This window comes from Homo sapiens, chromosome 17, assembly GCF_000001405.40.
Source record: "Homo sapiens chromosome 17, GRCh38.p14 Primary Assembly".
Taxonomy (NCBI): Eukaryota; Metazoa; Chordata; class Mammalia; order Primates; family Hominidae; genus Homo; species Homo sapiens.
Window position 1 is genome coordinate 20,434,959 of NC_000017.11, and position 12,633 is coordinate 20,447,591.

The window sequence follows — 12,633 nt, forward strand, 5'->3', positions numbered from 1 at the left end:
TTCCATCAAACTATATTCACTGACATGTAATGATAATCATCAAGACTAAATCACATCCCAGGAGGTATCTGAATGCAACCGTGAGGTGCTCCTTCATGTCCGAAGATGCATTTATAACAATCTGGAAAACAGTCTAGATCTTCTTGGAAGTTAGACCTTCAACTTTATCTGAATTTTGATGATAAATGAAGAGCTCTTCTTGTGCAGTTTCTGAGGTTCTTCAAAAGAGTGACTGTTTCTCTGTTTCCCCAGAAAAATACTACAATATGTGGTGTGTGTGTGTGTAGGTGCCTGTGCACATGTGTGGGTGTGTGTGAATTTGCCTATATGTGTGTGTGGATGGAGTAGGTATACATGCTGTGTGTGTGTGGATGTGCATTGTGAGTGTGGGTGGGAGATCGTGAGTGCATGTGAGTGTGTGTGTGGATGGAGTAGGTATACATGCCTGTGAATGTGTGTGTGGATGCGGATGTGTGAGTGTGGGTGGGAGATCGTGAGTGCATGTGAGTGTGTGTGTGGATGGAATAGGTATACATGCTGTGAGTGTGTGTGTGGATGCAGATGTGTGAGTGTGGGTGGGAGTTTGTGAGTGCATCTGAGTGAGTGTGTGTGGCGAGTGTATGGAAGTGGGTAGCCCATGCATAGAGCATTTCTTAGCCTACTTGACAGCTTAGGAGCCACCTCCTCCAGGAAGCCTTCCTTAATCTGTCCTTCGTCCTGCCCCTCGGGACCCAGGTGACACCGAGTATGCAATTGCTCTATCCCTGCAGGCCTGCCCCTCACTCATCTCATCCCCAAACACAGACACATGCAAGAATGTGACACTCCCTTCCCAATACAACACTAGGACATTTGATTCCCTTTGTATTCCCAGTACCTAGTGCAATGTCTGGTACACGGTAGGTCATCAGTAAATAATAAATTGAATTAAACCTTGCAAAGGCCTCCAAATATCAGAATTAGTAAGCTCTAAAGGCTTTGTTTATTCCTGCAGATTCCTTCTCAGGTTTCAGCAGGTCATAGAGAACATCTCTTCCACCAGTCCTAGTCTCAATGGGACAGTAAATGAAACAGAAACACCACCATCCCATACCCTCCCCTTCAGTCCCTCTAAAATGAGCTGCCGCTGCTGGGAGAACCAGAGCTAAGCTTCTGCAGAGGCCTCTGCCCATGTCACCCCAGCTCCGCAGTCCTACCTGGCATGAGTCTTCCTATAACTATACCTAGGCTTCCTGACTGCTCTGTGGGGACACCCAGCCTCATTGCACCACAGGATGGGGCAGTCAGAGCAGGGCTTCTTACACTTTAACATGCATACGATCACCTGGTTAGCATGTGGATTCTGATCCAGTAGGTCTGGGATGAGGCCTGAGATTCTGCACATCTAACACGCTCCCAGGTCCTGCCCATGTTGCTGGCCTGTGGCCCATCCTTCCACCAGAAGCGTTTAGAAGGCTTTAGTCTCCTCGCAGCTGTTCAAGAGACCGGTGCGGTGCAATCGGGTGCTGAGTCATTTGGTCACTGCCGCTTCTTGTTAAGTCAACTTCTATCATTTCACATGCATAGAAGTTTTGACAAGCCCTTCAGTCTTTTGTTTCTTTCTGTACGCCAGTAAAAAAGAAAGAACAAGCCAGGCACGGTGGCTCATGCCTGTAATCCCAGCACTTTGGGAGGCTGAGGCAGGCAGACCACGAGGTCAGGAGATCGAGACCATCCTGGCTAACACAGTGAAACCCTGTCTCTACTAAAAAGACAAAAAATTAGCTGGACGCACCTGTAGTCCCAGCTACTTGGGAGACTGAGGTGGGAGAATCGCTTGAACCCAGGAGGTGGAGGTGCAGTGAGCCGAGATCGTGCCACTGCACTCCAGTCTAGGTGACAGAGCGAGACTCCATCTCAACAACAACAACAACAAAAGACAACCAAAACCAAAAAAAAACCAAAAAACAAAAAACCAATCCTATACTCATTGCTCCCAGTCTACTAAAGCAGAAAGAAAACTGGACTGGGCGTTAGGTGACATGAACCCCAGTCCCAGCTCTGCAGGCCTCCAAGGTTCTCTGGCCTCTGTTTCCTTTCCTATAAAGTGGAGTAACATAGTGGCTGGCCTGGTTATTTCAAGAAGAGAGTGTGAGATTGCAGAGAGAGCATGGGCTTTCTGGTGTCAGAACAAGTTTCTAATGAGGAAAAATTACTTGCCTTCTTGGAGCCTCACTGTCTTCATCTGTTAAGTTACAGAGGAAAAGAAAATATGGGATATGTAAGTGTGCAATGCCTGTCAGCTGCCAGAAGTGCAGCAAATGTTAAATCCCTTCTCTGCTCAAAAGGCTGTGATGGAAATTCAAAAGCCCCTTCTCAGTAAGGCCCTCTGGACACCCAATCTGAAATGTCAGGCCCCTCCCCCTTTTCTCTTTATTGCGGATCACTGTTTAACATTTGACTTCTTTATCTGGCTTATCGTCTCTCCCTCAGCGAAGGGCTATGCCATGAGGCCGGGAATTTGTGTCCGGATGGCTCACTAATGTATCTGTGGTGCCTAGACCAGCAACTGGGACATGAATCTTTGTCGAGTGCATGGACCAGCAGTGCTTTAGATATTATGCTATTGCGTTATCAGAATCCATTTCTTCCACACCTCTGAAGCCAGAATAATGCACGTGGAGAGGTTTTAAAGGTGTGGAAAAGCAGAGCCCTAGAAGAAAACAGCCCAGGCTGAGACTTTGGGGACAACAGGAGACAGAAGAATACTTGATGATTTCATAGTGGGAGGCATGGAGAATTAACGTAGTCAAGAGCTGCGAGGCAATAAGAGGAGACTCTTGGGCAGCCCTCAAATAGAATATTATTCCTCCTCCTCTCTCCACCTTACCCCAGGTACAAGAGATGAATCCTGTTCCCCCATAAGCCAGCTGATTCCATGACACAGCAGTCCATGCAGTCCCCAAAATTTATCCCAACTGCCTTCCTCATGCTCAGCTTCCAGGCTGCTCATTTCCTTGGCTTATTCACCCTGCATCAGTTTCTAGTGTGGCCCAGTCTCCAGGATCAACACAGTCAGTTTGGGATTCTCTATTCAAGCTCTGATATTGATTTCATATTCGCCCTCTGGCTTCAGGCACTCACTTGGGTCAGGGGCACCCTACAGTCTGAGCCCCTTTCGGGGAGAGAGTGGAACAGAACATGGGTTTGAGGTCAGGTGGCTCTGGGTTCTGACCCTGAGTCCTTGAATCACTAGGTTTTGCTATCTTGGTCAATTTACCTGACCTCAGCTTTCCTATTTGTGAGATACAAAGAGAAATATTATATTGTAAGCTTGTTGTCAGCAGTGATTCTCAAAGTTTTGTCTTTGGGACATCAATCCTATGAGATGGAAAAGGTTTTTATTATCAAGTGAGTTTGGCAAATGCTCAATATCATATCCTCATCTTGGGAATTCTCAAATAACAAAAGAATGGGTTCCACTTTCATTAACTCAGTTTTTCTAAACAACAAAATTCCTTTTTGCAAGGAATACCTGTTAGCATCCTGCAGAACCAATGTTTTGTGTAATCCGTGGTGGGGAAAGCTGCTTGGGAAGATTAGAAATGCTCAACACCAGGCCCTCTGCTCGGCTCCTGGCACATGCATCGTGGACACCAGGAAGCATGAGTGCCTGTTGCATTTCTTCCTAATGTCAGGTATGTTTGGTCAAACCTTTCCTGCTTCTGCTACAAAAAAAGCATTTTAGGCTGTTGAGACAAGTAGTTTTCCCAAATATTTTTGTTGAGCCCTTCTCGTGAAAGGGAAATAACACAAACTGAAGTTAATGACATCTGTATTTTGGAGCCTCGCTCTGTCGCCCAGGCTGGAGTGCAGTGGCACGATCTCGGCTCACTGAAAGCACTGCCTCCCGGGTTCAAGAGATTCTCCTGATTCAGCCTCCCAAGTAGCTGAGACTGCAGGCACGCATCACCATGCCCAGTTAACTTTTATGTTTTCTTAGTAGAGATGGGTTTTTATCATGTTGGCCAGGCTGGTCTTGAACACCTTACCTGAAGTGATCCACCCACCTCGGCCTCCCAAAGTGCGGGGATTACAGTCATGAGCCACCATGCCCAGCCCACATCTGTACTTTTAAAGCTAAAATATGAGCACTCATTAGCCTAGCTGTGAAGAACTGTCACTCTTGGATTTCTGGGAAGTGACTACTCAGACCTGCACCAACAGGAGTTGGTGAAGTTGGGTAACTTGCCCAATGTAGCAGAGTCTGAGCTCTTTCTAGTGACAACACCACCCCACACACAAATTAGGGTATGTCCCATCATGTAGGTCCAGGGGATCTGAATACCTTCATGTTTCATCCTTCTAAAAAAAGTCCAGCAATACGTATCCTAAAAGCCTTACAAAATCTTCCCATTTGGGAATGCCACTTCTGAAATTACTATAAGGAAACCATCTAAAATAAAGACAAAGAGCTGTGCATAAAAATATTCAGGCCAGGTGCCGTGGCTCACACTTGTAATTCCAGTGCTTTGGGAGGATGAGGGAAGAAGATTGCTTGAGCCCAGGAATTTGAGGCTACAGTGAGCTATGATCACATGATTGCATTCCAGCCCGGGCAACAGAGTAAGACTTGTCTATTAAACAAACAAACAAACAAACAAAAATATATTCATCACAACATGATAATAGACAGAACCAGAAACAACCCAACATTTGGAGAATAGTTAAATGTCCAACAGCTAGGGAATGATTAAATCCATTATGAGGCTTCTCTACATTAAATATCTTACAGCCATTTATAACCATGTTTATAAAGAATTTTGAATGATATGGAACATGCTTATACTATGAGGTTAAGGAAATAAAACAGGCTACAAAAATAAAATATATGTACTATAATAACAGCTATGTTGGTGCACAGAGAGAAAAACATTTACCAATATACTAGGAGTGGTTATTTCTGAGTGGCGAGATGATGAGTGATTTTTCATTCTATTCTATATATTTTTCTATATTTTCTTTTATTCTACATGTTTTTCTGTATTTCCAAGTTTTACACAATAGTGATCAAGAAAAGGTAATTATTTATTTAAAAAGAAAAAAAAAGACCCATGAGTTATCAGAACCCAGTAGATCTAAATGGCACTACAAACACTATTGTGTTCAGAGGTGTCTCCCCTATCTAAGCAGTGCCAGGTTAGGGAACGCCGCCCATCAACGCTCTAAGCAGTGCCAGGTTAGGGAACGCCACCCATCAACGTTCTAAGCAGTGCCAGGTTAGGGAATGCCGCCCATCAACGTTCTAAGCAGTGTCAGGTTAGGGAACGCCGCCCATCAACATTTCCCAAATTCCAGGAACCATCTGTTCCATAGTGTCATATTTGTGTAGAACCTACACCATTACTTAATATTTTCATAGAAATCAACTCAGTTTTTAAAATTTGATTACCTGTGTTTTAAGAAAAATTTTAAATCACTCTAAATGGAAAAATAATGTCACTTGCCATTAATGGAAAGTAATCACAAAAATAAATGCAATAAAACAAAACAATATCATTAAATTCTACAGTGGTAAACCTTCTGAGCTTGAGAGCTGCTTTTGCTCTGTTTGATAAAAGCAGGGGCTGAGGGAGAGTGTTTTCAGGCAGGAGGGACGGATTTACAAGGGTTTGAGAGTAAGCCTAGCCTAGCAACAGACCCCTCAAAGGATTCGGGAAGATTGAAAGACAATGAAAAAGATTTTCTCACTAGAGATTTTGATTTGTTTTTAATGATTTGCCCACCTACCACCCAAACTGCCTAGGACACGACAGCTGGGGAAAGTGCCATTCAACAAAGATTTGACCCCAGCCCATGAGTTGCTGACAGTGGAAGTCACATAAGTTAGATAAGTGTACCGGACTGAGTTCCTCCAGGACAGGAACTATTTCTTCTTAAGCTTGGTAGTCTCAGCACCCCGGACAGTGCCTGGCACATGGACTTGTTTGTTGAGTGAGTGAAGAAATGAATGAATACTGGGTTGTGACAGCCTTTTCCCCAAAGCAGGGCAGGCGCCCTGAGTCGCTCACATCACCCTTGGCTTTCAGTCCTCAGAGTACAGCAAGTGGAAGTTCACCAACAGCCCCACGTTCCTGGAGTTGCTGGAGGAGTTCCCATCCCTGCAGGTGTCTGCTGGCTTCCTGCTCTCCCTGCTCCCCATTCTGAAGCCCAGGTTTTACTCCATCAGCTCCTCCCAGGATCACACGCCCACAGCGATCCACCTGACTGTGGCCGTGCTCATGTACCACACTCGAGGTGAGCCTGGGGCAGAGGCTGTGGAGCAGTCACGCTCTGCCCCTTCAGTTCCCTCATCAGTTCAAGGAGGGAGGGAACACCTACAGCCCAGAGTTGCTAATGGTAATAGGAGGCATGTGGGAGACAGCTCTATGAACCAGGCAGTAAACCAAGCCTTCTGTATGTATATGATCAGTTACCATGTAGGGTAGGTACTGTGTGCATTTTACAGGTGGCACAGAAAGTCACACTGTGAGTAAGTGGAGAGCTGAGATTTGGACCTGGGTGGTCTAACTGCTGAGTCCAAGTCTTCCACCACTCCACTGTCCCACTACTCTTGAGACAATTTAATGAGATCAGACTTGGAGAGCACCCAACCCTTGGTGAGAGCCCAGTGGTCCTTAGTCTTCCTGATTGTGCAGCCTGAACGCAGGGGAGATTCTGCATTGGCTGTTCACTCACTCACTGAGCTCATTCAGTGACGGTTTATTTCACATCTCTCCGTGCTCAGCACTGGGGCAGGTGTGGAAATACAACAGACATCAGCCCTGCCCTCAGGGAGCATCTAGAGGCAGCAGTGGAGAGATGAGTGTAGAAATAATTAGATGATTCTCATTGTCCAGAAGCCAAGAAGGAAAGGTCAGCATCACTGAGGACAGTGAAGAGGGGGTGACGCTGCCATAGAGTGGTAGGCCAACATCTCTTTCAGGTGGTCTTGGCTCCACCACTGGCCTCTGCCCCCCGCCCTGCCCTCTGTAACTGAGTGTTGCTTGGTTTGGCAAAGCTGGGAGCTGCCTATACTTCTGAGCCCTCTGTCTAGGAAACAAAAACACAGTTTCTAAAAACTGGCCAGAGACTCTGTTTGTCCTGCTAGAGAACACCCACCCAGACCAGGAGAGGAGAGGCAGACACGTCCTGTGAGAGCAAAATTTAATCCCGAGGAAAACCAGGGGGACCTCTGCAGTTTGGTTGGAGGCCTCCAGCAAGTGCTGGGCCATTGTAAAAGAAATGCAACCCAGAGAAACCTCCTGGGTTTCTACCAGCCCAGGAGGGGCAACTGAGGAGGAAAGCGAGGTGCCAGAGCAGGCTGAAACGCGCGGAGCTCATCCGCCACCCAGGGTTGCAACCAGCAAGGGCCACGCTCATGAGCACGCACAGCAGTAGCCACCCCGAGGGGCCACTTCCTGCTGCTGTCAGTGGAGCTCAGTGGTGAGCTGGGAGTGTTCCTGGAGAAACTCTTTGGAAGGAGCACTGGAGTAGGAGTCAGGGAAGCTGAGCTGTCCTGATTTCACCATGACCTGAGTGACCTTGTCCAAGTCACTCTTCCTCTCCGGGACTCACTTTCTGCGTTGAAGATGGAGCAACTCGCAACCTCTCTAAGTCCCTTTCAACCTTCCTCAGCTCTGGGCTCACAGCGGGTGGATCTCAGAACCAGGAGGACAAAGAGCTGCTCATTGAGTCCTGAGAGTGCCTGAGTGGGGGCGTCCAAGGAGGCCGTGGTGTGGGCGGAGCAGCTGGTACAGTTTGCGCATGGGCAGTGGGGGGACGTTGGTCACTTTGTGGTATCGTTGCAGATGGCCAGGGTCCCCTGCACCACGGCGTCTGCGGCACATGGCTCAACAACTGAAGCCCCAAGACCAAGTGTCCTGCTTTGTGCGGAAGTAAGCACCCCTTCCACTCTGTCCCCTGTGGGACCGCCGACCCCTGGAGGTTCGGGGAGGAAAGGGAGGGATCTGGGGTTTAGGTGCCGCTCGGGGCTCCTTGGCCCACAAAGAAGACACTGGGGTCACACTGGTGTGGCTGTCTCTAGCAGAGACAGCGATGACAGCAGAGCTGGAAGGGCCCAGAGTCCAGTGAGCTTGGCCCTTTTTCAGAAGGACCTGGGGGAGGTGCTGGTGGCTGGACAGAAGTGAAGCCGCCTGCAGGGCGTGGGAAATCAAATAGGAGCTGCTCTCCACCCGCTACGACCGCTCCCCACAGGCCCAGCTCCCCAGCCGTCCTGTGTGTGCGTGGGCCCGGGGTGTCTGAGGACTGGCCCCCTCTTCTCCTGTCCTCTTCAGCGCCAGCGGCTTCCGGCTCCCCGAGGACCCCTCCCATCCTCGTGTCCTCATCGGGCCTGGCACAGGCATCCCTCCCTTCCTCAGTTTCTGGCAGCAGCGGCTCCATGACTCCCAGCAAAAGGGTGTGGCTGGAGGCTTCCCAGGTGGGAGGGTACCAGAGGCCAGCGCCTGCCTAGGAGCAGAACCGTAGCCCCACAAACGGTTCCTGGACCTCTCTGGAGGGAAGGCCTCCCAAGTTTGTCTCCCTGTGTGGGGCCTATGTGGGTGAGAACGGCCGCCTTCCTGTCTCCGGCATTGGAACCGGGGCTCCCTCTCTCGGGAGTGGAGGTAACGGGAAAGTCCCTGCTTTTGACCTCCGATGGGCTGAGGGAATCCTGCATCTGCACTTTCAGTTGTGTGACTATGTATGAGTGATTGGAATGCCCTGGGCCTCAGTTTCTTCATCTGTAAAGTGGGGATAATGCTGTTAACTAGCTAGGATACTTGTGGGAGTGAAGTGAGAATTCCAGTTCGGCTTTGAGCCATAGCGCCCTGCTGGCCAACATGGTAACAACAGCCCGGGACTCCTGCAGGAGTGCAGGGAGGCCGCATGACCCCGGTGTTCGAGTGCCGCAGCCCAAATGAGGACCACATCTACCAGGAGGAGATGCTGGAGATGGCTCGGAAGGGGGTGCTGCCTGCGGTGCCCACAGCCTATTCCTGCCTGCCTGGCAAGCCCAAGGTAAATGCAGCCTCAAAGCAGGTGAAGCAGTACACAACGCAGGCTCCAGTGTGAGCCCGGGGTCCCCACAGGCCCCTCGCCTCCCTGAGCCTGCAGCTCCTGAGCTCTAAAATGCAGGTAATTCACAACCATCAGAGTGGGGCTGTGAAGACTGTTACGCCCTCTCTTCCAAGAGAAGTGACAGGACCGGAGAGGTTCAGGACTAACCTAGGTCACAGGCGGGTTGAGCCCAGAGCCCAGCCTGCTGAAGGTCATCCGCAGGCCCCCGGGACAGGTGGCTCCCCTGGGAGAGGTGGTCCAGGCCGGCTACGTTCAAACCCAGCAAGGCTGGAGGGCGGCCGATGCTTCCACCATGGCCCTCAGACGGGCTCACCTGCCCCCAGGGCCGCGTTGCCCTCTGAGCCTGAGGTGTCAGAATAGACTCTCGGCTCTCACACATTTGTTGCCATCAGGGCACCTCTCGGGCCCAGTGCTCTGTGCCCAGTGCTGGGGCCACTGGGCATGCTGTGTGGAGCAGGAGCAGAGAGTCCCCGACTGACTCCTGGACCTTCTAACTGGGAAGCCCGGGATCCGTACCCTGCAGGGACCCGATGGACAGTCTGCATTGAGAGGATACTTTTCAGGGGTGTAGGCAGAGCCCTGGGCAGGGGGACTGCCTTCATTGATGCCTCTTTGAAGCATGGCAAATTCAGAGACAGTCTGGGAGCCCCACTGGACAGTCAGCCCCTTGAGGGCAGGCCTGTGTCCAGCATTTATGTCTCTACTCCCAGCCCAGCCCCCAGAGCATCTGTGCTCCTCCTCTTCCTGAGCCTGGACCTGTGCAAGGTCGTGGCTGGGAGGGGACTCACTCCACAGCCCTTAGTGCCCTCTCCCCAACTCCCTGAGGCCAGCAGTCCTGCCTGCAATCCTTGTCTCCAGTGGCCGGGAACTGGACCCACCGTTTCCTCTGGTTTTAGGTCTGTGTTCAGGACATCCTGCAGCAGCAGCTGGCCAGCGAGGTGCTCCGTGTGCTCCACAAGGAGCCGGGCCACCTCTATGTTTGCAGGGCTGTGTGCATGGCCTGGGATGTGGCCCACACCCTAGCAGCTGGTGGCTGCCTAGCTGAACTTGAATGAGGAGCAGGTCGAGGACTATTTCTTTCAGCTCAAGGTGTAATAGTGGGTGTATGGGCTGAGGGTCCTGGCCAAGGGCACAGGCTATTGGAGCCAGGACCAGGGGTGGCAGGTAGACCCAGGGGAGTCAGGCCCAGAAAAGTTCTGGACCCCAAGGGAATCTTAGCAGTGGCTGGGATCTGAGCTGGGTGGGCTGTCAGAAGGCCCCACTGCACATCCTGGACTGGTTGGCAGCTTTGAGAAGTCAGGTGAATGTGTTCCATTTTTCCATCTGTGGAATGGGAGCAAGAGAGTCTACTTGCCCTCTCCCCAAACCCCCCTTTCAGAAAGTATCTGTGTGGCCAAAGCAAGGCTGTGAACACAGGGGAGAGCAAGGCTGCCCCCCGTCAGCCTCGTGTGAACCTCACACTTCTTATTTACACACAGGCTGGCGTCTGCTCACCCTCATCCTCCCAGCAGGAAGGGCTTGCATTTTATTGATGAAAATAATAGTGATATTTATCAAGGGCTTACACTGGGCCAAGTGCTTGCCAAGGATTCTCATGTGACATTTCTTTCAGTCCTGCCGAGGACTTTATGAGGGAAGCACCCTGTTTTACAGAGGGAAGGGGGCCTATGGGGTCTACAGCAGTGAGAGCCTAGAGTTCAGTCTGCGTCTCTCTGATTCCAAAGCCTGTGATTGTGACTTCCATACTCTCCCTAAGACACATTCATACATTCAACTGAATATTTATTGAGCACCTACTGTGTGCTAGGGATAGAGCAGTAAATGAATCAGGCAAAAATTATTTACATTCCACTGGGGCTGACAAACCCAAACAAGGAAGAGGTGTAGTGCTTCGGAGAAAAACAGCAGGAAATAGCCCAGGGGACACTGGGGAGTGTAATTTTAAATAGGGTGGCCAGGGAAGGCGGAGCTGGAAGGCGGCGTCTGAGAATAAACCTGAGATGGTGAGGAGGAGCCCCGTGGATACTGAAGGAAACACTCTGGGCTGTTCTGGAGAGGGCAGCAGATACAAAGGCCCGGGGGTGGGAGTTAAGCTGGCGTGTTTGAAGAACAGTGAGGAGATAACAGGCATTTCCCCAAATGTGTTAAATGAGTCGGTAGATGTTTGGCATCCAAAAGGTTACAAGGTCGAATAGCCTAGGACATGCTTAGTTAAGCCAAGGCAAGCACGTTGCTTTACTACAAGACTTCTGGGGGCCTTCAACGTGCTGCTGTGCATCGGGACCCTTCAAGGCTGGGAGGAAAGAAAGGATGTAGCATTTCCCAAATGTGTTAATCTGAAAGCTCACACTTCCTGGAGCATCTTGGGTGGGGGATGAGCACAGGGCAGGAAATGGGAATGCCAAGTAAAGCTTTGGAAATGGTTAGAGGGCCTGCTCCAGAGCAGGTGCTGAGCGGGTTTAGGGTCTAAACCAGATTCAAGCGCAATCAAAGTATAACAGTTGGGAAGACAGATGGCTCATGAAGGTCCATGTGATAAGGAAGCTGGGCAACCCCAGGGGCTCATTCCAGCCTGGACTTGACACATTGGTCTCTGTTTTTACCTAAAAGAGCCAGAAGCACTTCCATGACGATATCTTTGGTGCTGTATTTCCCTACGAGGCAAAGAAGGACAGGGCGGCGGTGCAGCCCAGCAGCCTGGAGATGTCAGCACTCTGAGGGCCCACAGGAGGGGTTAAAGCTGCCAGCACAGAACTTAACGATGGAGCCAGCTCTGCATTATCCGAGGTCACAGGGCCTGGGGAGATGGAGGAAAGTGATATCCCCCAGCCTCACGTCTTATTTCTCACCTCGTTCCCCATCAAGCCCTTTACTTGACCTCCTACCAAGTAGCACCCTGGATTGATCGGAGCCTCCTCTCTCAAGCTGGGGCCTCCCTGGTCCCTTGGAGACGAAATCTTCAATGCCAGGCCTGGCAAGTGGGTGAAAGATGGAACCCGCTGCTGAGTGCACCACTTCAAGTGACCACCAGGAAGTGCCGTCACACCACTGTGTATTTAACTGCCATGGGTACAATTATTTATGCCTCTGTTTAAAAAACGAACACCCTAGTCTGTTCCTAATGGCCCCTTGGGTCTTCTCTGTATGATTCCCTGATGGAGATATTTACATGAGTTGAATTTTACTTTAATCACACTGTGTGTGTGTTTGTTGGGGGAGCTGGTGGGGGATGTTTTATAGGGAATGTGGCCCTCAGTTATAGAGTGGGGAGCTGGTGGGTGTCGCAGCCTGGACAGATGCCCCACAGAGGGACACCCCAGGCAGGCCACGGCTCCTCTGAAATGGCTGCCAGGTGTGACAGCAGCAGATGGAGCTTCGTGCTGGTCCAAAGACCTGCGGTAGGGTGGACGGCACAGGCCTGCCTCCCACACAAAGGATCTGACGCGGGGTCTGGCAAGAGTGGGATTCTCATATGAGGCCAGAGCTTCAGGGAAGGTCTTGAGCTTCTTCTTGGACACTGTCTTAGAAAGGTTTTGC

General features: G+C 50.4%; 1 pseudogene across 1 annotated transcript, besides 1 other annotated feature; it reads left to right on the plus strand.

Moving 5' to 3' along the window:
* Positions 1-1,865: 1,865 nt before the first annotated feature.
* NOS2P3 (nitric oxide synthase 2 pseudogene 3) lies at positions 1,866-12,286 on the plus strand (annotated as a pseudogene). Its single transcript, NR_144552.1, has 5 exons — positions 1,866-3,677; positions 6,069-6,276; positions 7,830-7,916; positions 8,888-9,036; positions 11,707-12,286. The product of NR_144552.1 is annotated as a nitric oxide synthase 2 pseudogene 3 (transcript).
* Positions 2,549-3,653: a non allelic homologous recombination region, noted in NCBI's record as "recombines with the distal SMS-REP block A recombination region". NCBI's record gives the evidence for it as "EXISTENCE:nucleotide sequencing assay evidence [ECO:0000219][PMID:14639526]" and "EXISTENCE:restriction fragment detection evidence [ECO:0001124][PMID:14639526]".
* Positions 12,287-12,633: the final 347 nt, after the last annotated feature.